The 27,518-nt window shown below is 42.8% G+C and overlaps 1 long non-coding RNA gene across 3 annotated transcripts in view; it reads left to right on the top strand.

Annotated features, from left to right (window-relative positions):
• Positions 1-27,518, top strand: part of CCDC28A-AS1 (CCDC28A antisense RNA 1) — a 48,489-nt gene that overhangs the window by 16,964 nt on the left and 4,007 nt on the right. The window contains exon 3 of one of the 3 annotated variants that reach the window (NR_161203.1): positions 6,471-6,612. The exons of the other annotated variants lie outside the window; for them this stretch is intronic. This is a non-coding gene — a long non-coding RNA (CCDC28A antisense RNA 1). The remainder of the gene's footprint in view (positions 1-6,470; positions 6,613-27,518) is intronic. 3 annotated transcript variants of the gene reach the window in all.

The raw sequence follows: 27,518 nt of genomic DNA, 5'->3' as shown, positions 1-27,518 counted from the left end.
TTTGAGATGGGGTCACACTCTGTCTCCCAGGCTGTAGTGCAGTGGCGAGATCACCGTCGATTTATATTTATTTTATACAAATTAAAAATAAATTTGTTTCTTTGTTTTGCAGCTAGAAGAATTGAATTCTTCCGTGTATCCTTTGCCAACTGTCAGTAGTGAAGTTTACAATTTATAATTTCTGGTGAATAGTCTCAATCAAGTTTTAGAAAGATGTGTTATTAGATATGGTGAAAAAAGACACAGTATTATTCACTAGGGCCATCACTCTTACTCTTTGGTTTGTTTTCTTTTTTTTTATTTTAAGAGACAGGTCTCGCTCAGTGGTTCAGGCTGGAGTGCAGTGGCATGATCACGGCTCAGTGCAGCTGCAACCTCCTAGGCTCAAGTGATCCTGTCACTTCAGCCTCCTGAGTAGCTGGGACCATAGGTGCTGCCACCATGCCTGGCTAATTTTTTAATTCTTTATAGAGACAGGGTCTCACTATGTTGCACAGGCTGGTCTCGAACTCCCGGCCTCAAGCAATGCTCCTGCTTTGGCCTTCCAAAGTGCTGGAATTACTGCGTCCAGGCTATAATGACTCTCTTAATAGCTAAATCTATTAGCAGACGGAAATAATTGATGCTACCTTATTACATAAAATAGAGCATTTATAGGACGGTGATAAAATTAAAGCAAGCATTTCTTAGTGAAACAAACCATTGTTCCTGATTGTTCATCAGGTAATTTATCATAAAATTATTTTTCCTTTATACACATGTGGAGTTATAGACATTTATGTTGAATGCTTTAAAATTGTCTTTAGTTTTCTCTCATATTGCCTTAGTTTGTAGTAATTTAGAGTAATTAGAGTAATATGAGTAATTAGAGTAATTTCTCATGTTGTCTTAGTTTGATTACTTATAAATTATTCAGTACTTTCTTTCATTAAAACATTATTAATAATATGATATTTGAAAAGGTAATATTCTTTATTGAAGTTAAATTAGTTTATGTTCTCATAGCACATTTTTTGTTGATCTGAATAAGTTATGTTACTTGGCTAACAATGCCCAGACAACCTTACTATTAACTCTAGCAATCTAGGATGTAGAATTGTGTTGAGATAAGTAGAAGTCAAAAGAAATAAAAGGTTGGAATCAGTGAAGAAATTAAACATCATTTAAATTATCAACATGTCCACCTGAGACTGTAATTGAGAAGGAAAAAAGAGGATCAGAATTGAGTTTCAAGAAGCAGCCTCTTAACTTTCCTATCTTTAAAGGATCAAACTTGATAAGGAGTCTAGAGTGTTTCCTTGACAATCTGAGGGAAGGAACTATGGGCTCATGGCCTACTATGTCATGCTAAAGTTTAGGCGTTTAATAATCCATTGACAATCATCAGGCATTTAGGTAAACAAAAATGAACATATCTGCCTGGATCCCATTACTTCATTTCAGATCTTAAATCTTTTGTAATAACCAGAACATTACAACAACATTAAGCCTTTCATATATGAAGTAATGTATTTCAGTAGAGGGATTTCCTAGGCTCTTGGTGGAGTAGTATGCAGAATGACTTCAGCCTCCTCTAATGTTTGGATAAAACGAAACCTTCAAATGGAATAAGTTCCACTGTTGTGTAAATCAGTCAAGATTTTTTAAACAACTATATAAGCTCAAGATGGTGGAGGCAAAATCCCCCACATAAAACATTAAGAGAACAATAAGAAGTATTCTCTGCTCCTATACTCTGCTTCCATCATGTCTGTACTCTGCTCAGAAACCTCCTATCCTGAGCCACAGTGTGGTGCCATATGCCTGGACTCCCACCTACCTGGGAGGATGAGGTGGGAGAATTGCCTGAGTCAGGAGTTCGAGGCCAGCCTGGGTAATATAGTGAGACCTTGTCTCTAAAAATAAACTTTAAGCAAACAAAAAAACACCCTAAAAACTCTCCTGTCCATCCCTCTTTTTTAGAGAAGGATGTCCCCAAATCTGTGCATGGAAGACATGTATTCTATAAGATAGTAAAAGATCTTGCTGAAAAATAAATGCCTGAGTAGTTTTTCCAAAATATATTTTTAAATCTATATATGTAAGAAAAATTCTAAGCACCTTTAAGATGTAATTAACATGGGATAATTTGTCTTTAAGAAATGAAACTAACTTCTGTGCATCAAAAAACCACTTTTAAAAAGTTATAAGAGACAATTGGCCAGGCGTGGTGGCTCACGCCTGTAATCCCAACACTTTGGGAGGCCAAGGGAGGTGGATCACCTGAGGTCAGGAGTTTGAGACCAGCCTGGCCAACGTGGTGAAACCTTGTCTCTACTAAAAATACAAAAATTAGCTGAGCGTAGTGGCACGTGCCTGTAATCCCAGCTACTCGGGAGGCTGAGGCAGGAGAATCACTTGAGCCCGGGAGGCAGAGGTTGCAGTGAGCCGAGATCATGCCACTGCACTCCAGCCTGGGCGACAGAGTGAGACTCCATCTCAAAAAAAAAAAAGTTATAAGAGACAATGATAAACACTGTAGAAGATACGTGCTGCACATAAAACTGATAAAATATTGATATCCAGAATATATTAAAAATGCTGGCAAAAAAATATGAGCAGGCAATTCACAGGGAAGAAGTCAAAATGACCAATAAACACACAAAAGATGTTCAAACTCACTAGTAACTAGGTCAATGCCAATTAAAACTAAAATGAAATACCATGTCTTACACTGGCAAAAAATTAAATCTGATAATGTTAAGTAATGTCAAGGTGAAACAGGAGTCACATACCTTGCAGGTGGGAATACAAATAAGTACCACTTTGGAGAGTGGATTGGTAATAACTAGTAAATTAAAGATGTGCCTAATCCATCATACAGTAGTTCCACTTCTAGATAAACGCACATGTGCACAAGGACATATATACAAAAATGTCCATCACATCATTGTTTGTAACAGCCAAAATTGGAAGCAATATATGTGTCTAAATGTACCTAAACAGGAGAATGGCTATATTGTGAAATAGTCATTTGTTGATTCAGTGAATATTTATTGAGCACCTGCAGTATGCTAGTGCTCTCTGAGTATTAGAAATATATCAGTAAACAAAATACCTGCCCTCACAGAGCTTATGTGTTATTGATAGGGAAGAGGGAGTGATGGGTGGGTAGACAATTTAAGGCTGGCCACGGTGGCTCATGCCTGTAATCCTAGCACTTTGGGAGGCCAAGGCAGGTAGATTGCTTGAGCTCAGGAGTTGGAGACCAGCCTGGGCAATATGGCAAGACCCCATCTCTACCAAAAACATACAAAAATTAGCCAGGTGTGGTGGTATGCACCTGTAGTCCCAGCTATTTGGGAGGCTGAGGTAGGAGAATCACTGGAACCTGGGAGGTTAAGGCCACAGTGTGTTGAGATCTTGCCACTGCACTCCAGCCTGGGTGACAGAGCCAGACCCTGTCTCAAAAATAGAAAAATATGACTTATAAGATGGTGACGTGGTATGGAGAAAGAAAAAACAGAAGGAGGAAGAGAGAGTACTTCTCGGTGGTAATGGAAGATCCCACTATGAAGGTGACATCTGAGCAGGACCTGGAGTGGTGAGGGAGCCAGTCATGCAGATAACGGGAAGAGCATTTGGGACCTAGGAAGCTGCACATACAAAGAATTTGAGGCAGGAGGATTCCTGGCATGGTTGAGAAAAAGCAAGGGGGCAGGTGCCTAAAGCCAGGTAGGCCTTAGCCCATTTTGAAGACCGCTGCTGTAATCCATGGGGCAAACATTTATTGAGTACTCACAATATGCCAGGCATCATTCTAAGCTTTTTCTTAATACATATTTTTTCTTTTCTTTTTTTTTTTTTTCACTGCAGCCTTTGCCTCCCAGATTCAAGCGATTCTCCTGCTTCAGCCTCCCAAGTAGCTGGGACTACAGGCATGTGTCACCATGCCCAGCTGATTTTTGTGTTTTTAGTAGAGATGGGGTTTCACCAGGTTGGCTAGGCTGGTCTTGAACTTGTGACCTCAGGTGATCTGCTCGCCTCAGCCTCCCAAAGTACTGGGATTACAGCCATGAGCCACTGCACCTGGCCCATATTTTTTCATTTAATGCTTATAGTCTTCTTAGGGAGGCAGTATTTAGCCTCATATCATAGATGAGGAAACTGAGTCACAGAGAGAGTAACTCATTCCAGATCAGTATACCGTGGTGTGCTGATTCAAATGCAACTGACTCCATAGGCAAATCTGTTAGTTACTGGGGAGCTGCCTCTTGCATTTGTTCTCTCTGGAGTGTTCCCCCTATGCCGTTTGTCTTTCCTACCATTCCAGGCTATGCCTGGGGTCACCTACTGGCCCTCTCCACTGTTTGGGTACCCTTCTGTCTTAGTCTGTCTTATGTTGCTACAACACATTACCACAGTCTTGGTAATTTATGATGTACAGAAATTTATCTGGCTCATAGTTCTGGAGGCTGGGAAATCTAGCAGCCTGGTGCCAGCATCTGGTGAAAGCCTTTGTGCTGTCTCCCCCTATGGTGGGAAGTAGAAGAGCAAGAGTGCGCAACAGAGCAAGAGCAGAGGGGGATGAACTAGCTTTTTATTAGGAACCCACTCTGGTGATGACAGCACGAATCCATTCATCCCCTAATCACTTCTTGACACCATCACAATGGCGGTGAAACGTCAACAAGAGTTTTACAGGAGACAGTCAAACCATAGCACCTTCTTCTTGGGAATCTTGGAATAGATGAGGGGGGACAGTCCTTCTTTTCCCTGGCCTCCTTATCTTTTCCATCTCTCCAACACTAGCCCAGCAGGCTGTACAGCCCTATGCAAATTTCCTTGATGAAGAGCTGGAGCAATTTCACAAAGGAATTTCACCACATCAGACTTTCTCTTGAGCGTCAAAAGAGAAGGCAAATTAACTTAGGCCGTTGGCCGGGCACAGTGGCTCACGCCTGTAATCCCAGCACTTTGGGAGGCTGAAGCGGGCAGATCATGAGGTCAGGAGATCAAGACCATCCTGGCCAACATGGTCAAACTCCATCTCTACTAAAAATACAAAAATTAGCCAGGTGTGGTGGCAGGCACCTGTAATCCCAGCTACTCAGGAGGCTGAGGCGGGAGAATTGCTTGAACCTGGGAGGCGGAGGCTGCAATGAGCCGAGATCACGCCACTGCACTCCAGCCTGGGTGACAGAGTGAGACTCCATCTCAGAAAAAAAAAAAAAAAGAAAAAAAAGACTTAGGCCGTTACAGAAAGAGAGTCCCTACTGAATACTTTCACTGTTCTTCATAGAAGAATGTTAAGATGGCTTGTTTGTACCCCTCCTTTTAAGCACCTCCTTCTGTGGAATCTATTATCTGGGCATAAGCTTCAAACTTGATTAGATTGTTTTAACTCACTAGTTCTTTTTTCCTGATTTGGTGGCAGTAGTGTTTTCCTCTTCCTTCTACCACACGTTTATGATGTTATTCTATTTCTATTATAAATTAAACTTTTGTAGCCACACTCATTCCCCATGAATTTGTGGCTGAAAGAAGCCAATTTTCAAAGAAAATCCTTCTTGGGTTTCTTACATTGTGCCTGAATCCAAATGCAGAGCTCTGAATACTTTAAAGTGAAGCTGAACAATGGCACCAGTAGTTTATAAAGAGCTGGGAAGAAAGTGACAGAAACAAGGCCCAGAGTGGTGTTTATGGTGTGTGCTCCCATTTGAGTGTAAAGATAGTCTCTCTGCAAGGACACCTGAGACACAGAGAGCAGCGGGTCTCTGGGGAGGTGAACTAAGATATTATAGCTCAGGGGTAGGAGAAAGGGAAACTTGCTGTTTACGCTTTTCCTTTTTGTACAATTAGACATTTAGGGTTTTTTGTTTGTTTTGTTTACTATTATACACAATACATTTTTCAAAAAAAAGTAATATAAACTCAAATTAACATTCTGGAAATGAGCTATTGAAAATATTACAGTAATTTTTGGAACAGCCTATTTCAAAAGTACTTAAATATTGCAAAATATGCTTTTTGCTTTTTCCCTTTGCTACAATGAACCTTGTGAAATGCAATTTTTATACTATACAGCAGTGAAAGCAAAATGAAGGAGTAGACCTGAGGTAGTGCCTGATATAAGAACCTGACCTGCAACATTACTGTTAATATCAGGTGGTCACATTATGGGGAAAGAGATCCCCTCCTCATGTAAAAATGTTTTTGCATGTTGTTTTGTATAATAAAAGTGTGAAATGGGTGAGATTTAGCATTATCTTTAATTTGTTCTTACTAAAGTAAGTGTTTTGATTTTTCTGTGGGTTAGGTGTGTTAAAACTGGAGAAAAAACAAATTTTGATCATTTATCTGAGGGGACATTTTTGGCTGCTTGCTTTAATCCAGGCAGGCACCGTATCTATTGATCTTCTGATGGTGTTTCATCAAGATGTTATACTCAAAAGCTTTTAATTTCCTTTTTTTTTTTTTTTTTTTCTGAGATGGAATCTCACTCTGTCACCCAGGCTGGAGTGCAGTGGCGCAATCTCAGCTCACTGCAACCTCTGCCTCCCTGATTTAAGCGATTCTCCTGCTTCAACCTCCCGAGTAGCTGGGACGACAGGCGCGCACCACCATGCCCAGGTAATTTTTGTATTTTTAGTAGAGATGGGGTTTCACTGTGTTAGCCAGGATGATCTCAATCTCCTGACCTCGTGATCCACCCGCCTCAGCCTCTCAAAGTGCTGGGATTACAGGCGTGAGCCACCACACCCGGCCAAAGCTTTTAATTTCTAATGGTCCTCCAATAAATACATTATAAAGTTTCAAACCATTCTGGGGTCAGTTAGTTTTGAAAAAGAATAGAGATCAAACTCCCCAGCCCTTCTTATTCTGGCTCCCGTTCACACTTCTTCCTTCTTTTGTGAACCTATTCTTCAGCCAAAATATTCTACTCTTTGTCCCCACTGCACGCCTTACATTTTCCAGGCGTTGTCCTTACACCTTCTCTCACCTGAATACTCCTTCTCCCCCCGTGTTCAGCTTTTAAAACTGAATCTCTCCTTTAACGGCCAGAGTAAATCTACCTTTTTCTTTCAGCCTTTCCTGACCATCCTCAGCTGCAGTGACATTAAACTCCACGGAATCTTCATGTACCGTTTATTTATCTTACTTGGTCTTTGTAATTTACTAGGTGAACTATGCAGAGTGATGGCTGATCATAGTTTATTTGGGCTGTCATAACAAAAATAGTATAGACTGAGTGGATTGTAAACAGAAATTTCTTTCTTGCGGTTCTGGAAGCTGGGAAGTCCAACATTAAGGCACTGGCAGATTCAGCCAGTGATGACTGCACACCTTCTGTTTCATAGGCATCTTCTTACTGTGTCCTCATATGACAGAAGGAACAAGGGAGCTCTCTGGCTCCCTTTTTATCCCATTCATGAGAGCTTTGCCCTCATGACCTAATCACCTCCCAAAGGCTCCACCTCCTAATACCATCACATTGGGGGGTTAGGTTTTGATAAATATATGGATTTTGGGGGATAGAAACATTCAGTCTATAGCAGTCCCCAAAGATGTCCACCTCCTGTTTCCCAGAACCTGTGCATATGTTAGCTTACATGGTAAAGAGAAATTAAGGTTGCAGATCAAGCCAGAGTTGCTAATCAGCTGATCTTAAGGTAGGGAGATTATCCTGAATTATCCAAGCTCCCTAATGTAGTCACAAGAGTTCTTAAAACTTAAGAGGGAGGCAGAAGACAGAATCAGAAAGATGCAGCATGGGGGGCACTGAGCACAACATTGCTGGCTTTGAAGGGGGCCACAAGCCAAGGAATGTGGGTGGCCTGTAGAAGCTGCAAAAGGCAAGGAAAGGCTGGGCGCGGTGGCTCACGCCTGTAATCCCAGCACTTTGGGAGGCAGAGGCGGGCAGGATCGCCTGAGGTCAGGAGTTCAAGACCAGCCTGAACAATGTGGTGAAACCCCATCTCTACTAAAAATACAAAAATTCACTGGGCATGGTGGCATGTGCCTGTAATCTCAGCTACTTTGGAGGCTGAGGCAGGAGAATCACTTGAACCTGGGAGGCAGGGGTTGCAGTGAGCTGAGATCGTGCCATTGCACTCCAGCCTGGGTGCCAAGAGTGAAACTCCATCTCAAAAAAAAAAAAAAAAAAAAAAGAGGCAAGGAAACAGATACCTTCCAAGCCTCCAGAACATATGCAGCCCTGCTGCTTCCTTGATTTTAACCCAATGAGTTTCATTTCAGACTCCTAACCTCCCAAACTGTAAGATAATAAGTGTATTTTGTTTAAGCCACTAAATTTGTGGTTATTTTGTTAACAGAAGCAATAGAAAACTAATATACTAGAATCACCTAGTTATCTTAGGTATTTTGACATCATCCTCTTAAGTGATTTTAAATTCTGAGAAGATGGATACCAAGCCTTACATATCTTTATAGGCCAATATTCTAACAGTGTACTGAGTATAACAAATGTTGCAATCTGATTCTAAGAATCCGGAAGGAGAGGTGAGTGTTAACCCCATAAGAGTTTGATTGTATACTGATTTTTAAATGTTATGTCTGCACATACAAGCTACCCAGGAGGGCAGTCATTCTCAGTTCTAATGGTTCTAATAGTAGCCATAAGGATTTGTACTTGTATTACACAAGACTGCTGAACCAAAGCTGAAGGAAAGGCATGTGGCATGTGTGCAGCTTCATCCTGTCCTTTATTCAATCCACATTGATGTGCAGGGCTTCAGATTGCTCTTTAAGGATGTGGTGCCATTGCTGCACTGATGTTTGCAAGACCCATATCTAACATTTACTGCATGCTTATTAAGAACCAAGTATGGTTCAGAGTGCTTGACGTGTATTACATCCCAAAAGGTAGGGTTGTATCATCCCCATTCTGAGGAACCTGAGAGAGATTAAATTGCCCAGTCACATAGAGCTTGTGAGTAGTGGAGCAGTGATTCAACCCCAGGCAGCCTGTCTTCAGAACCCCAGCTTTGAATTTTAACTTGTGCTCTCCTAGCAGTTTATCATAAATTTTATCAAAATTTTATGCCTCAGGCCTTGTAGTGTTTAGTAAAAGGTCAACAGATGTTCGGTATAGGTGGCTCTTGTTCCCACCTCTTTCTAGTCAGATTTGTTTCCTGATCAGAATTTGGAAAATTTACCCAACTTACATCTCTATGCTTTTCTGCATAATTTGCTCTTTTCAAAAACTACTCCTTTGTGAACATTTGGATTAGAAATTAAATTTGACATTTGGGTTCCCAAAGAGTATGTTTTATTCCATTTGTTAACATTAGATTCTCATTTATATAAAATACATTATATATCTGGTTGGTGAAATTGTGGGTGACTTTTGTGTTCTTTGACCTTTATTATCCAGATTTTTTAAGTGAATGTGAAACTTTTATGATTAAAAATGCTAGGAAAGGGCTGGGAATGGTGGCTCACTGGCTCACACCTGTAATCCCAGTACTTTGGGAGACCAAGGTGGATGGATCGCTTGAGCCCAGGAATTTGAGACCAGCCTGGGCAACATAAGGAAACCTCTTCTCTACAAAAAATACAAAAATTATCCGGGTGTGGTGGTACGCACCTGTAGTCCCAGCTACTCAGGAAGCTGAAGTGGTAGGATTGCTTGAACCCGGGAGGTGGAGGCTGCAGTTAGCTGTGATCGCATCACTGGACTCCAGCCTAGGCAACAAAGCGAGGCTCTGCCTCAAAAAAGAAAAAGAAAAGAAAAGAAAAATGCTATTAAAGTGTTAAATCACAAAATGAGTCATACTTTGTAAATTTTGTTTTTCACTTTGCTATATTTTATTTTTTATTATTTATTTATTTATTTATTTTTTGAGGCAGAGTCTCGCCCTGTCGCCCAGGCTGGAGTGCAGTGGTGCTATCTCAGCTCACTGCAAGCTCCGCCTCCTGGGTTCATGCCATTCTCCTGCCTCAGCCTCCCAAGTAGCTGGGACTACAGGTGCCCGCCACCACACCCGGCTAATTTTTTGTATTTTTAGTAGAGACGGGGTTTCACCATGTTAGCCAGGATGGTCTCAATCTCCTGACCTTGTGATCTGCCTGCCTCGGCCTCCCAAAGTGCTAGGATTACAGGCGTGAGCCACCACGCCCAGCCCACTTTGCTATATTTCAAACACATTCCCATCTTATTATACTACTTCAGTGATACTATCCTGTTTTATATGAATATGTCACAATTTCCTTTGCCAATATCTAATCACTTTTGCCCCACATTTAAGTAGTGAGAAACAATTTCACCATAACATCCTTGTAACTAAATATCTGTGTACTTTTAAAATTTCCTTAAGATCTATTTCTAGACCTGAAAATGCTATGCCAAAGATTTGTAGGTTTTTAGAGCAGATTTTTATGGCATTTTTAATGTATGCTAAATTCTCCTCCAGAAAGTTTGTACCACATTTTTTTCCCACGAGCAGTGTTTAAGAGGTTAGATTTTCCTCTCCCTTGATAATACCTGATATTTTATTTTTACTTGTGCATCTAAACATTTTCTTGTCAGGTATTCATGTCTTATTAATTACCTGCTTTGAGTTTTTTACTTTAAAATATTTATTTTTCTTATTAATTGATAAAATCTTGTATATTAAAGATAATAGTCCCCCCACACACTTTTTTTTTTTGAGACAGGGTTTCTCTCTGTCGCCCAGGCTGGAGTGCAGTGGTGTGATCTCAGCTTACCGCAACCTCCATCTCCTGGGCTCAAATGATCTTCCTGCTTCAGCCTCCCAAGTAGCTGGGACTAAAGGTGTGTGCCACCACGCCTGGCTAATTTTTGTATTTTTAGTAGAGACAAGGTTTCCCTACGTCATCCAGGCTTGTCTCAAACTTGTGAACTCAAGCCATCTGTCTTCCTCGGCTTCCCAAAGTGCTGGAATTATAGGTCTGAGCCACCGTGCCTGGCCTGTTTGTTTTGTTTTTGTTTTTTAAATATTTTCCATAGTTTTAAATTTGCCTTTGTGGCCAGGTGTGGTGGCTCATGCCTGTAATCCAAGCAGTTTGGGAGGCTGAGGCAGGAGGATCACTTGAGTCCAGGAGTTTGAGATTAGTCTGGGCAACATAATGCGTCCTCATCTCTACTAAAAATAAAAACAAAAAAAATAGCTGGAGGTGGTGGTGTGCACCTGTGATCCCAGCTATTTGGGAGGGAGGCTGAGGCAGGAGGATTGCTTGAACCCCAGAAGGTTGAGGCTGCAGTGAGCTGTGATCTCGCCACTGCACTCTAGCCTGGGCAATGGAGTGAGACCCCATCTCAAAAAGAAAAAAAAAAAAAGAATTGCCTTTGCATTCTGTTCATGGTAGAGTTTTTTGGTTTATTTGTTTGGCCTTGGATCAGAGAGATGGACTACACATACTTCTTGGTTAATGACACACAATTATCACTGTTTCATTTAAGGTGCTGCTGATATGTTATAATTTTTTTGTGTGTGTGTTTTCCAATATCCTCTTCCAGTTCTATTGTCCTATACCTACTCCCAGTCTTGGGCTGCTGCTCTAGAATGCGATGCCATTAATAACATATCCTTGAACATGTATATATTTTTTAAATATATACATATAAAATATATGTAGATAGTGTTTTATATGTGCAAGTTTTACATACTCATGAATTACACCGTGCTATAGATCTTGCTGTATTCTTTTTGTTTTTAGTCGATGGTATCATTTTAAGATGAATTCATGTTTTAGATGTACATGTATAGTATTTCATAATGTGGGATAAACTTCAGCATTTAACTTATTCATTCTAATGATGAACAACACATAGTTTACCACCAACTCCCGTCAGTGATAGACAACATTGGCCTAAACATCCCTGCATATGCCTAGGCACCTCTGTGTGAGTTTCTTTGGGACAGGGTTCTCAACTATGTTTGTGCTATGACTCCTTTAGCAGTCTGCAAAAACCAGATGGATCTTGATGGCTAATGGTGATATATTAAACTTAACCACTTAGTGAACCCTCTTTATAATTGATATCAAAAAGAACATGGTTTTTGTTTTTGTTTTTTGTTTTTTTGAGATGCAGTTTCACTCTTGTTGCTCAGGCTGGAGTGCAGTGGCTTGATCTTGGCTCACTGTAACCTCCGCCTCCCAGGTTCAAGTGATTCTCCTGCCTTAGCCTCCTGAGTAGCTGGGATTACAGGCATGCACCACCACTCCTGGCTAACTTTGTATTTTCTTTTTAGTAGAGAAGGGGTTTCACCGTGTTGGTCAGGCTGGTCTTGAACTCCCGACCTCAGGTGATCCACCTGCCTCGGCCTCCCAAAGTGCTGGGATAACAGGCATGAGCCACCACGCCCGGCCGAAAAGAACATGTTTGGAAGATCAAGTTATACATTGTGTGCCAGAGCTTGTATTGATCTTTTCTGTTAAATATGACCATTTAATAAAACTCTCTCAAAATAACATTCTTAAAGGCATAAGATAAAATATATAGAATTACAAAAGAAACAACTTATATTAATATACAGTAAATGTTTACCTTAATGAATTAAATAACAAGATATCATCACTATGACAGTTTCAAAATAGTGATAGCCATAAGTAATAATGTAAAATGAAAATATTTATGATTTCTATTCATCACAATGTCAGTATTACTGTGGTTTATTGTCTACCTATATAATTAAAGAAAATGCTAAATTTCATTAGCACACATAGCTGTGCCTCTGGACGGATTTTTCCCTTACTGCTCTCCTTTTGCACCATTCTTGGGTAGAGTTGTGTGTTCCAGCAGTCCGTTCGTGGCTCACAACAACATCCTGAGTGACCCATCTGACAACCAAGCCTAAGTCATATCTTCCCCCATCAGTTGGTCATAGGTGCAAAGTGAGGCATTGTTGCAATAGAAATAGAGACATGGGCCTGGGCGCGGTGGCTCATGCCTGTAATCCTAGCACTTTGGGAGGCTGGGGCAGGTGGATCACCTGAGGTCAGGAGTTCGAGACCAGCCTGGCCAACATGGTGAAACCCTGTCTCTAATAAAAATACAAAAATTAGCTGGGCATGGTGGTGGGCTCCCGTAATCCCAGCTACTTAGGAGGCTGAGGCAGAAGAATCGCCTGAACCCAGGAGGCAGAGGTTGCAGTGAGCCGAGATTGCACCATTGCATGATCTGGCCTGGGCAACAGAGTGAAACTCAGTTTAAAAAAAAAAAAAAGAAAAGAAAAAGAAATAAGAGACAATGGAGCTTGGGTCACCTGCTTATGTAATTTGCTTGTGGTCCATGGACATGCTGGACTTTATTTTGTGTGCACCATTTACATTTTATAAGGAATTGCTGCTTCACTCATCTGAATATATAGTTTAATGGCTGTTATATCCATGATGGGTAGCTCTGGTCACACAGTCATTTGGTGTCCCATGTCAGAAGCTCAGTCTCTCTTAGGGCCTAGTAGCACACCTGAAGTTGCTTTCCAAATGACAAACATCACCTTCTCTGCCCCCAGAAGGATCACATTCTGTCAGAATCTGGATTGTAACTCTTCTATTAAAGTTTGCCAGCAACCTACAATATCCTTAAATTATTAAATATCAAGGATGCCTCTAACATCATTGATTCATAGTTAGCATATGACCCAAGTGGCCTAAAACTGCTGATGTGTCTTCTCTTCCTTTTGGACCCACTCAAAGCTGGCAGCCTTTGAATCACTTAATAAATGGGTTGGAACAATATTCCCAAATTCAGTATATGCCGAAATCTAAACAGGCCCACCAAGCTCTGTGCCTCTTTCTTAGTGGTAGATGTGTAAGGTGCAACAAGTTTTCCTGTTCCTTAGGACTATCCATGACTTCTCAGAATATTGGACCTCCAAAACCTTTATAGTATTTATCTGCCATCCTCTGGCATACATGGGTCCTACTTGGGCATCCAGAGTACGTGTCACTTTCTTTTTTTTTTTTTTTTTTTGAGACAGGGTCTTGCTCTGTCTCCCAGGCTGCAGTGCTGTAGCACGATCATGGCTCACTGCAGCCTCAGTCTCCCAGGCTCAAGTGACCTCTCACCTCAGCCTCCCAAGTAGCTGAGATTACAGGTGCACACAACCATGCCCGGCTAACTTGTCCCTTTTTATTCACCAAGTCAATGTAGTATGATATCATAGTGGACCCACTTGATTTCCTAGAAAATATTGAGATCATCAAGAATTTTGTGGACCGTATTATGAAGAAAGCAGAAGAGTTTATTGACCCTGGGTCAAGATAGTAAAATGTACTTCTGACTTTCTCATGTAAAAGTAAAGTTTTTTGATCTTTATAGTGAGATATTGAAAAGAACATGTTTGTAAGATCAAGAGCTATACACCATGTGCTAGAGCTTGTGTTGATTTTTTTTATTCAAGATGCTACATTCAGGTGGTTAAATTTAACCAGGTGGTTAAATTTAATATATCACCATTACTTCAGGTGGCGGCAGGGACTTCAAGGGCTAGGGGAGCTCCTCTGAAGACTGGTCTATCCCTCTCCTTGCTCTGAGCCCCTGCCTCCGGACCACTTTCCGTCATTCACTCCATTCATTCATTCATTCATTCATTCATTCATTCATCTGTCCCTACCACCTGTTCCACATGGCTGGCCCAGCATCAGAGGAGGTGTGGGAGTGACAGAGCGGGGTATAGACACTGCCAGCAGGGTATGGTCAGGACCTGGTGGAATGAGGAACTGGGGAGGGGCACTCACGTGGGAGGAGAAAGGGAAGGCTCCTTGGAGGAGATGGTCTTAGAGCTGAACCTTGCAAAACTGTGCTCTGACCCACGAAGCCTCCCATGCATGGGTGAGATTTGGGAAAGGAAAATGTGGGACTGTGAAGACCTCCAAGTGCCAGTAAGGAGGGTGTCAGACAGATCTGTGTATCTGGAATATTCCTTAGGGGCTGGCGAGAGGTCTGGACCAGAGGGGAAGACTGAGGGTGGGGAGGCCTCGAAGGAGGATGGGCATGGTCCAGGCCGTAGAGAATGGGGCTCAAGTCTAGGCAACTAGGAGGAGCAGATACACAGGGAAGGTACAAAGGCAGGTTTGGGACATGTTCACTCTGAGGGGGCTGGACCCTGGGGGCAGGGACCTAGAAGCATCTTATGGGCTAAAGACAAAGATGGTCCAGGAAGCATCAATGTGTGGTGGGGGATGGAGGCACTGAAGCTGGGAGAGAGGATGACGTCTCCCCAGAACACAGTGGAGAACAAGGCCTGAGACTGAGCCCTGGGGCTCCTAACATCTCAAAGATGGCAGAGAACACAAGAAAGTGACAAATACTCTGGATGCCCAAGTAGGAGGTGAACCAGGTAAGGGTGGTGTCCTAGCGGTGGAAAAGGGAGAAGCATCAAGGAGCAGTGATGGAGTTCTTGGCATCAAAAGCTGCTGGGATGTGTGAAAGGACAGCCATGCAGATCCCAAAGTCATGAGGGAGGAAAGCTGAGAGTTGGGGCTGGGGACTGAGGGCTTGGCTGCTCTGAGTGAGGTTAAGCAGGGATGGGGAGGGAAGATGGGGACCCTGGTTGGGGGACTGAGGGTGGCTAAAATGAAAATGAAAAAAATATGTCACTATTAGCCATCATGATCTATCTGGTATTTGCAGGAGTCATATAGGTAAATTAAACAGGGATGTGATGGAAACCAACACGTCTGCATCCTTTAAATATCTGAGTTGTGCTTATTCCCAGAATTCCTCTTGGGATGTGTTTCTGATTTGCTATCTTGGCACTTTGGTGGCAGGAGGCGTTTTTCAGGGTTATTTTCTAGCTACTCTTACCATAATAACTTTTGGTAATAGGTCAATAACTTTTGACAATAGGTCAGGGGCTGTAAAAATTTGGCCAGCTGTTAAGTGTGTCCATTCAAACTTCACATATGAGAACTGGGGATATAGCCACAGAATAGGTTATTTCCTATTCTTCAGGATTCTATTTTGTAGAATTTTTGGACTCACAGTGATATGGCTTCTCTGTGTCCCCACCCAAATCTCATCTTGAATTCCCACGTGTTGTGGGAGGGACTCGGTGGGAGGTAATTGAATCATGGGGGCAGGTCTTTCCCATGCTGTTCTCGTGATAGCGAATAAGTCTCATGAGATTCTTCGGTATTATAAGGGGGAGTTTCCCTGCCCAGTCTCTCTCTCTGCCTGCCGCCATCCATGTGGAATGTGACTTGCTCCTTCGTGCCTTCCGCCATGATTGTGAGGCTTCCCCAGCCATGTGGAACTGTAAGTCATTAAATCTCTTTCTTTTGTAAATTGCCCAGTCTTGGGTACATCTTCAGCAGCAGCGTGAAAACGGACTAATACGCATAGTAACGAGGACTAGGGCCAGAACTGCATTTATTACCTGGCCTCCATACGTCCTTTCTCTACCCAGTGGTCTATGATGGCATTTTATGTTTGCTTGTTTTGGTGGCAGTTCAGACCCTGTTATGTAATAGTCCTCAAAATGCCTGGAAAATGCCTTTCCCCAGTGTACGGTTTTTTTAGTAAATGGCTGCAAGAGCTTTTGGGGAATAATTGGGGGAATGTTTATCGTACATACTTGAGCAGGTTTTAGATGGTCCTTCCTCAAGGAGACATATACTCCTCTTTGATCACAGGCTGTCACCTATGAACTGGCTAAAAACTGGGTGAGAGACCACAATATTTTTCCACTTTGCAGCCGATGTCAGTCTTCTCTTCAATTGTTTTGTGTTTTATTTTATAAGGTAAATAAGTAACATCCTGATTGATTGGGTATCCATCTGTCTTGCTCCTAGGAACAGCATGATCTATTAACCATCACCACAGATGTCTGTAGGTCAAGCCACTCTGATCGCCATTCCAGCCTTGCTATCTATTATAGCAGTGATGTCCGTATTGCCTCTGTTAGGTGCCACTCCCTGGCCTCTGCCATTCCAGAATCTTATTACGTCCATTGATACTAGAAGGCCAGTTTCAAGACTGCATCTCTTCAACGTATAGAAGAAATGTGTCATTGAGTTTCTGAAAGATCCCAGTACAAACTTCCTTGGTGCATTTCTTACTGCTTTAGTGAAGCAAATATCTTTCAGGGATTCCTGGGAAATATAATCAGATAGTGGGTTTTCTGATCATATTTAATAAGTGTAATACATATTTTTTTGTTTTAACATTTTCACTGCCATGTGCCTTATTACTCCCTCCTCAATATTCTGCCAAAGTAGTTCTGGCTTCTCCACCTCATTTACATAGGACATCAACATGGCCAAGAGTCAAGAGCAGCATATTAGAGTAACTCTGGTGGGATGCAGTGGCTCACACCTATAATTCCAGGAGGATTGCTTGAGTCCAGGAGTTCAAGACCAGCTTGTGCAACATGGCAAGATCCCGTCTCCACAAAAAATAAGAAAATGTTTAGCTGGGTATGGTGGTACACTCCTGTGGTCCCAGCTACTTGGGGGGCTGAGGCAGGAGGGTGGCTTGAGCCCAGGAGATGGAGGTTGAAGTGAGCCATGATCACGCCTCTGCACTCCAGCCTGGGTGACAGGGTGAGACCCTGTCTCAAAAAAATAAAAAGAAAAATAAAAAAGTATGACTCCATATTTTTTTTTCCAGGAGGCTAAACCCCAAGTCATAGGAGAGTGCTCCAGTGTCAACAAGCTTTTCACCGTTTTTTTTTTTTTTTTTTGAGATGGAGTCTCACTCTGTCGCTAGGCTGGAGTGCAGTAACACAATCTCAGCTCACTACAACCTCTGCCTCCCAGGTTCAAGTGATTCTCATGCCTCAGCATCCTGAGGAGCTGGGATTACAGGTGCCCACCACCACACCCAGCTCATTTTTTTTTTTTTTTTTGTATTTTTAGTAGAGACAGAATTTCACCATGTTGACCAGACCAGTCTCGAACTCCTCACATCAAATGATCCTCCTGCCTCAGCCTCCCAAAGTGCTGGATTACAGGTGTGAGCCACCACACCTGGCCACTGCACAGATTTATATTTTATCCCCTCATCACTCTCCTGGTTCAATACCCTTGAGATTCACTCTCATACATGTTCATCCATTCTTGCTAGTACTTCTTATTTTGGTCCTGTAATTGTTTTGATTGTGTAAGCCATTTCCTTCTAGAGTAGGAAATGCATTTTCCCTCTAGACCCTTGCTATTCCTAAGGCAGTGAAGGATGTGGTGGCAGATCTTGGACAGAAAAAAAGCATTGTCCTCCAAGACACCTGACTCAGGTGAGGTTTCTGCAAAGCTTCCAGGGATTGTGGAATTTTCCTCTCTAGCAAGAAGGAGAGTACGGCTTCTTCTGGCAGAAGATTCGGGGGAATTTGTGGGTTCCAGATGCTGAGGTTATCTACCCAAATGTCACTATGTCAGCTTTCAGGAAATCACTTTTCCTATCAAGTCCTCAGCTTTGGCATAGAATTTTTTTTTTTTTTTTTAGATGGAGTCTCACTCTTTTGCCCAGGCTGGAGTGCAGTGGCACGATCTTGGCTCACTGCAACCTCTGCCTCCCGAGTTCAAGCAATTCTCCTGCCTCAGCCTCCTGAGTAGCTGGGGCTACAGGTGCGTGCCACCACACCTGGCTAATTTTTTTGTATTTTTACTAGAGATGGGGTTTCACCGTGTTAGCCAAGATAGTCTTGATCTCCTGACCTCATGATCCGCCTGCCGTGGCTTCCCAAAGTGCTGAGATTACAGGCATGAGCCACCGTGCCCAGCCCGGCATAGACTTTTTGAGGCTGTGCATTCAGTCTCCTTTGCAGTTTTGCTGCTCTTACCGTTGAATCCTGGGCCTGATTTTTCAGCATATATTTCTCTACAGCTACAGGAAATGAGGATCGTTTTCTTTTCATTTCCCCCGCTTTTTTTGTTTATTTAGTTTTTCCCCCAAAGTATAACTCACATGCAGCAAAGTAAACACATCTAAACGTAGAGCTTGATATATGTTTATGACATACTTCTACACCCTTGTAACTACTGCTCAATCAAGTTGCAGACCATTTCTAGCATTTCAGAAGGCTTCTTCATGCCTTCCCACAATCAGCATTTCCCCCACAATGGTATCACTATTTTACTTCTTTCACCAGAAATTCATTTTCCCTATTTAACCTTACCTAAATGGATTCATGGCTTGTGATCATGATGTCTGGGAGATACGTGCATGTTGTGCAAAGCAGTAGTTCTTTTTTTTTTTTCTGAGAGTCTCACGTTGTCACTCAGGCTGGAGTGCAGTGGTGCGATCTCGGCCCACTGCAACCTTCGCCTCCTGGGTTCAAGTGATTCTCCTGCATCAGGCTCCTGAGTAGCTGGGACGACAGGCATGCGCCACCATACCCGGCTAATTTTTGTATTTTTAGTAGAGACAGGGTTTCACCATGTTGACCAGGCTAGTCTCGAACTCCTGATCTCAAGTGATACACTTGCCTCGGCCTCCCAAAGAGCTGGGATTACAGGCATGAGCCACTATGCCTGGCCCAAAGCAGCAGTGCTCGTTAGTTGCTGTTTAGCATTACACAGTATATTACGACTTATTTATTTATTCTCCTATCGATGGGTATTTGGGCTATTTTCAGTTTGTGCTATTATGATAAAACGACTATGAAAATTCTTCTTTTTTCTTTTTCTGAGACAGGGTCTCACTCTATCGACCAGGCTAGAGTGTAGTGGCGTGATCTCGGCTCATCACAACGTCTGCCTCCCAGGTTCAAGCAATTATCTCACTTCAGCCTCCTGAGTAACCGGGACTACAGGTGCTCGCCACCACACTCGGCTACTTTTTGTACTTTTTAGTAGAGACAGGGTTTCACCGTGTTGCCCAGGTTGGTGAAAATTCTTATATACAACTTCTGGTGTATATAAATGCTCATTTGTTCTGGGAGTAGAATTTTTCAGGAGTAGAATTTGCTGAGTCATGTGCATATAATTTTAGATAAAAACTGCCAGTTTTCCAAAGTGGTTGTACTGACTTAAACTCCCCCACCACAACATAAAATGTTCCAGATGCTCCACATCATCGAGTACTTACTTTGTGTTGACAGTCCTTTGAATTTTTTTTTTTTTTTTTACTTTTTTTTTTTTTTATTATACTTTAAGTTTTAGGGTACATGTGCACATTGTGCAGGTTAGTTACATATGTATACATGTGCCATGCTGGTGCGCTGCACTTACTAACTCGTCATCTAGCATTAGGTATATCTCCCAATGCTATCCCTCCCCACTCCCCCCACCCCACCCAGTCCTTTGAATTTAAGTCATTCTCATGGGAGTGTAATAGCATCAGATTATAGTTTGTGCGTTTCCTTGATGAATAATGACTTAATTGCCTTTTCGTATGCATTTTGCCCTTCGTTTATCTTCATTGTGAAAAGAGTTTTGGGTACAGTTTCTTAAAATTGGGCTATGTGGGGTTTTTTTCTTAGTGATTTGTAGGAATTTTTTTATACTGTAGATCTAAGTATTGTGTTGAACTATGTTCCAAGTTTTTGGCTTGCTTTTTAACTCTCCCAGTAGTGTCTTTTGAGGAACAGAAGTTCCTAATGAAGTCCAACTTAACATTCTCTTATAGCTAGTGCCCTCTGTTCCATTTAATCCCAAGGTCATAAATAGGATCTGTGTTTTCTCCTAGAAGCTTAATTTTTTTACCCTCTACATTTATGTCCATGATCCATCTAGAATTAATTTGGGGGTGTAGTGTGAAGTAGAGGTCAAAGCTTGTTTTTTTCACATGGCTATCCAGCACCAATTATCGAAAAGACTGTCTTTTATTTGGAAGTGTCTTTTATTATTATTATTATTATTATTATTATTATTATTATTATTATTTGAGATAGAGTCTCGCTCTGTCACCCAGACTGGAGTACAGTGGCATGATCTCGGCTCACTGCAACCTCTGCCTCCCAGGTTCAAGCGATTTTCCTGCCTCAACCTCCCGAGTAGCTGTGATTACAGGCAAGCACCACCATGCACGGCTAATTTTTGTATTTTCAGTAGAGATGGGGTTTTGCCATGTTGGCCAGGATGGTCTCGAACTCCTTACCTCAGGTGATCTGCCTGCCTCGGCCTCCCAAAGTGCTGTGTGAACCACTATGACAGGCCTCGGAGTATCCACTGCCATGGAGGACTCTTATTTTTATAGTGGGCAGCTACATAACATGAGTATGTTGATTTCTTTTTTTTTTTGAGACAGTGTCTTACTCTGTCCCCAGGCTGGAGTGCAGCAGTGGCACAATCTTGGCTCACTGCAACCTCTGCCTCCCAGGTTCAAGCTATTCTCCTGCCTTAGCCTCCTGAGTAGCTGGGACTACGGGTGTGCACCACCGTCTCCAGCTAATTTTTGTATTTTTAGTAGAGATGGGGTTTCACCATGTTGGCCAGGCTAGTCTTGATTTCCTGACTTCGTGATCCACCTGCCTCGGCCTCCCAAAGTGCTGGGATTACAGGCGTGAGCCACCGCGCCCGGCCGAGTATGCTGATTTCTTTTATCAAGAGTTTAAAAGCAGCTAACCAAAGCGAAGCCATTCTATAATTCATTTTAAAAATAATTTTTATGATGACTGTTGCAACCTCTTCCAGTGCTAGAATACCACATATTCTTTGTCTTCTGCCTCCACCACGTTCCAATCAAATGTAGACAGTGGCAATCAGGGAAGCCATTTTGTGAAGCTACCAGAGAGTATAGCCCTCTCACCTGTTACCAGTGATGGATTTCTTTTTGCTGCCTGACCAGTGGGTAATCCAGGTTTAGAATCCTGTCTCGAGAGCATTCTTTCTATGGCCACTTCTGTGGCCACACTTGCTTCTTCTGGGTTTCCCCCAAAGCAGAGCCTGGGCCTAGGGCTGCATGCAGGTGCTTGATTTGGTATGCGATTCCAGGGAGCAGGAGTGAGGGGCCAAGGAAAGTGAAGTCAGGAAGGAGAAAAAGGCAATGCTAGACTGCATTATTGGGTTGGCCCTGTTGCAGGAGATTGGTGTTTATTTCTGCTGACACCTGCAGATCTCTATCTGAGGGACAAAAGAGAAAGCAGTCTCCCCACTGGTGGTGAACACTTCTGGGTGCCTCAGTCAGTCCCAGTGGGCTCCTGCATTGTCCTACACCAAGGCACCACTAAAGACCATGGGCAGGAATCAAGAGAGTGTGACCCACTCTCTCTCTCTCTCTTTTTTTTTTTTTTTTTTTTTTTTTGAGATTCAGTCGTGCTGTGTCACCCAGTTTGGAGTGCAATGGTGCAATCTTGGTTCACTGCAGTCTCTGACTCTGGATTCCTGGATTCAGGCGATTCTCGTGCCTCGGTCTCCTGAGTAACTGAGACTACAGGCACCCACCACCAAGCCTGGCTAGTTTTTGTGTTTTTAGTAGAGATGGGGTTTCGCCATGTTGACCAGGCTGGTGTGGAACTCCTGACCCCAGGTGATCTGCCCGCCTCGGTCTCCCAAAGTGCAGGGATTACAGGCATGAGCCAACGCGCCCGGCCTGCCCACTCCTCAGGTGAGATACCGAGATAGAAAAAGAGTAAAAGTCTATGTGGAATCATTTGCATCACAACCAGATGTGAGAAAGGAGAGGCGCGCAAAAGCTTTCCAATGCATGTATTGATACATGCAGCTCCTTACACCCAAGGGCAACAATGCAGCCAGGTACTGAAGTCAAGTACCCGAAATGCCATAATGTGCTCTCTCCACATCTGCATTTCTCTGTGCATCTGCTTTACTTTTATCTCTTGACAATACAGCTTTTTTTGCTTCACAGGTACAAGATGGGTGGAAAACGACCATTTCATCTCTTTTGTGTTTACCTGTTTCCTACTGAATAGAGCAGCTGGACTGAACCAGAGCTCTTTGTTCCAAGTCCAAATACCCTTTAAAGGAAATCTGATTGCTTCAGGTTGGGTCCGGTATCAAGGGCTAGTGGAGCAGAATCATGTCGTTCTAACACAGTTGCTAAGAATCCAGTTCTATGGATTGGGTATAGGGCAGAGTTTTTGTCTCCTGAGCTAACTCCCTTTTGGAGGGGATTGCCTTTTAAGGTATCCACTACATTAACCAAGCTCATCAAAATCTTATTATTTCTATCTTTGGTGTAATGCTGAGAAAGTCTTACACTGCCCCATGATTGTATAAACATTCCTTTTACATTTTCTTCATATATATGTTTAATTAATTAATTAATTAATTTTTTTGAGACAGCATCTTGCTCTGTCGCCCAGGCTGGAGTGCAGTGGGATGATCATGGCTCACTGCAACCTCAAGCTCCTAGGCTCAAGTGATCTTCCTGCTTCTGCCTCCTGAGTAGCTAGGATTTCAGGCACCCACCACCACACCAGGCTATTTTTTAAAATCGTTTTTTGTAGAGACAGGGTCTTGCTATGTTGCCCAGGCTAGTCTCAAGTCATTCTCATGCATCAGCCTCCCAAAGTGTTAGGATTACAGGCATGAGCCACTGTGCCCAGCCTTCTAATATTTTTATGATTTTTAAAATTTAAATATTTAATCCACCTGGAATCTATTTAGGTACAAATTATGCAATAAGGACCCAGCTTTTGAAAATATGATTAGTTATCTCACCACCAATTATTTAATAATTCATTCTCTTCCCACTGATTTAAAATCCCAAATTTTTTAATATACCAAATTCTTATATATATATATACGTATACACACATGCATGCACATGGCAGTATGTGTGTAGTACTGCTTCTGATCTTTTCCTTGCTTGGTTCATTACTGTTTTAAATGTATATGTAATGCTTCATAACTAGCTTGAAAACAAATAACTCACACTGGTTTTAAATTTCTTTAGAGGGCCGGACACTGAGGCTCACACCTGTAATCCCAGCACTTTGGGAAATTGAGGCAGGAGGATCCCTTGAGCTCAGGAGTTCGAGACCAGCCTGGGCAACATGGCGAAACCTTGTCTTTACAAAAAATACAAAACTTAGTTGGGCGTGGTGGCACACCTGTAGTCCCAGCTACTTGCTTGAGCCTGGGAAGTCAAGGCTGCAGTGAGCTATGATCATGCCACTGCACTCCAGCCTGGGTGACAAAGCAAGACCCTGTCTTAAAAAAATAAAAAAAATTCCTTTAGAGGAACAACTGATTACACACACACACACACACACACACACACACATACATATAATCTAGCAGTTTCTTGCATACTAGATAATGATAACAATTACAGTTTATATATAAGAATATATACACATGATTAAATTTAAGATATATATTACTTTATAGCTTTCATAAATTACATATCATCAGGAAAAGATTATATCAATATATTGATACATGTTTCTGTGTGATAGTTTCCATGGTAACCATTTATCTTTTATTATTGTTTTAAGTAATTTCCCTTCCTGAGAGAGGATTACACATATCTCTGCCCATAATAACTCACAGTGCCTTTGATATGGTCTGGCTGTGTCCCCACCCAAATCTCATCTTGAATTGTACTCCCATAATTCCCATGTGTTGTGGGAGGAACCAGGTGGGAGATAATTTGAATCATGGGGGTGGCTTCCCCCATGCTGTTCTCGTGGTAGTGAATAAGTCTCATGAGATCTGATGGTTTTATCAGGGGTTTCTGATGCTTTTGCATCTTCCTCATTTTCTCTTGCCATCGCCATGTAAGAAGTGCCTTTCACCTTCCGCCGTGACTCTGAGGCCTCCCCAGCCAAACTGTAAGTCCAATTAAACCTCTTTTTCTTCCCAATCTCAGGCATGTCTTTATCAGCAGCATGAAAAAGGACTAATACAGTAAATTGGTACCAGTAGAGTGGGGCATTTCTGAAAAGATACCTGAAAATGTGGAAGCAACTTTGGAACTGGGTAACAGGCAGAGGTTGGAACAGTTTGGAGGGCTCAGAAGAAGACAGGAAAATGTGGGAAAGTTTGGAACTTCCTAGAGACTTGTTGAATGGCTTTGACTGAAAGCCTGAAGCAGTGTGGACAATAAGGTCCAGGCTGAGGTGGTCTCAGATGGAGATGAGGAATTTGTTGGGAACTGGAGTAAAGATGACTCTTGTTATGTTTTAGCAGAGACTGGTGGCATTTTGCCCCTGCCCTAGAGATTTGAGGAACTTTAAACTTGAGAGAGATGATTTAGGGTATCTGGAGGAAGAAATTTCTTTCTTTCTTTTTTTTTTTTTTTTTCCGAGATGGAGTCTTGCTCTGTCACTGAGGCTGGAGTGCAGTGGCGCGATCTCAGCTCACTGCAACCTCCGCCTGCCGGGTTTAAGCAATTCTCCTACCTCAGCCTCCAGAGTAGCTGGGATTTACGGGTGTGTGCCATCACACCCAGCTAATTTTTGTATTTTTAATAGAGATGGGGTTTCACCATGCTGGCCAGGCTGGTCTCGAGCCCCTGACATCAGGTGATCCTCCTGCCTCAGCCTCCCAAAGTGCTGGTATTACAGGCATGAGCCACCGCACTGGTGGAGGAAGAAATTTCTAAGCAGCAAAGCATTATTCAAGAGGTGACTTGAGTGCTGTTAAAGGCATTCAGTTTTATAAGGGAAGCAGAGCACAAACGTTTGGAAAATTTGCAGCCTGACAATGTGATAGAAAAGAAAAACCCATTTTCTGAGGAGAAATTCAAGCTGGCTGCAGAAATTTGCACAAGTAAGGAGGAACTGAATGTTAAGCCCCAAGACAATGGAGAAAATGTCTCCAGGGCATGTTGGAGGTCTTCATGGCATCCCCTTCTATCACAGGCCTAGAGGCCTAGGAGAAAATGGTTTTGTTGACCAGGCCCGGGTCCCTGTGCTGTGTGTAGCCCAGGGACTTGGTGCCCTGTGTCCCAGCTGCTCCAGCTGTGGCTGAAAGGGGCCAACATAGAGTTTGGGCCGTGGCTTCAGAGGGTGCAAGCCCCAAGCCTTGGCAGCTTCCATGTGGTGTTGAGTCTGCAAGTCAAGAATTGGGGTTTGGGAACCTCCGTGTCGATTTCAGAAAATGTATGGAAACACCTGGATGCCCAGGCAGAAGTTTGCTGCAGGGGCGTTGCCCTCATGGAGAACCTCTGCTAGGACAGTGCAGAAGGGAAATGTGGGGTCAGAGCCCCCACATAGAGTCCCTACTGGGGCACCACCTAGTGGAGCCTTGAGAAGAGGGCCACCGTCCTCTAGACCCCAGAATGGTAGATCCACCAACAGCTTGCACTGTGCGCCTGGAAAAGCCACAGACACTCAACACCAGCCTGTGAAAGCAACTGGAGGAAGGGAGGTTGTACCCTGCAAAGCCACAGGGGTGGAGCTGCCCAAGACCATGGGAACCCACCTCTTGCATCAGCGTGATTTGGATGTGAGACCTGGAGTCAAAGGAGATCATTTTGGAACTTTAAAATTTGATTGCCACTGGATTTCGGATTTGCACGGGCCCTGTAACCCCTTTGTTTTGTCCAATTTCTACCATTTGGAATGGCTGTATTTACCCAATACCAGTACACCCATTGTATCTAGAAAGTAACTAGCTTGCTTTTGATTTTACAGGCTCATAGGCGAAAGGGACTTGCCTTGTCTCAGATGAGACTTTGGACTGTGGACTTTTGGGTTAATGCTGAAATGAGTTAAGACTTTCACGGACTGTTGGGAAGGTATGATTGGTTTTGAAATGTGAGAACATGAGATTTGGAGGGGCCAGGGGTGGAATGATATGGTTTGGCTGTGTCCCCACCCAAATCTCATCTTGAATTGTACTCCCATAATTCCCACATGTTGTGGGAGGGACCCGGTGGGAGATAATTTGAATCATGGTCGGGGGGTCTTTATCAGCAGCGTGAAAACGGGCTAATACAACTTTCTATGGAAAAAGTACACATTCCTGCTCCATTGATGTTGGTCTTCGACATGCAGCTTGTTTTGGCCAATGGCAGATGAGTGGATGTGACTTACATTATGTTGAAGTAAAAGTGTTGATCGTTCTTGTGTGTTTTTGCCAACTCTATCCTCTTTTCCCTGTGCCCTGAGAATGGCACATCTCAGATATTGAAGAAGACACATGGAGCAGAAGAATTGCCATCAACCCATGGCTAATGAGCAACATGAATGAGATATAATCCTTCATTGTTTTAAACCGTGGTGATTTGGGGGTTGTTACTGCAGCCTTCCTAGTAAACGCTGATGAGGACACCTGGCATGCTCACTGTTGACAGTCACATTTTGACTGCAATTATCATTTGGCTCAATCTGGCTGACATAGCTATCTTTTATAATAACCCAACACAGTTCTTTAACTCAATACTTTTTATAAATATGGCAAAAAAAGATTAATTAGAATAACAGACCTCAATGGGCATACAGCACATAAATTTTACTCAACAGTTATCTTAAATATAGTCAAGCTGGCCAGGCGCGGTGGCTCACGCCTGTAATCCCAGCACTTTGGGAGGCCGAGGCAGGCAGATCTGAGGTCTGGAATTTGAGATCAGCCTGACCAACATGGAGAAACCCCATCTCTACTAAAAATACAAAATTAGCCAGGTGTGGTGGTGCATCCCAGCTACGCAGGAGGCTGAGGCAGGAGAACTGTTTGAACCCAGGACACGGAGGTTGCAG

This window comes from Homo sapiens, chromosome 6, assembly GCF_000001405.40.
Source record: "Homo sapiens chromosome 6, GRCh38.p14 Primary Assembly".
NCBI classification, from domain to species: Eukaryota; Metazoa; Chordata; class Mammalia; order Primates; family Hominidae; genus Homo; species Homo sapiens.
This window is presented reverse-complemented; position numbering and strand designations above follow the sequence as displayed.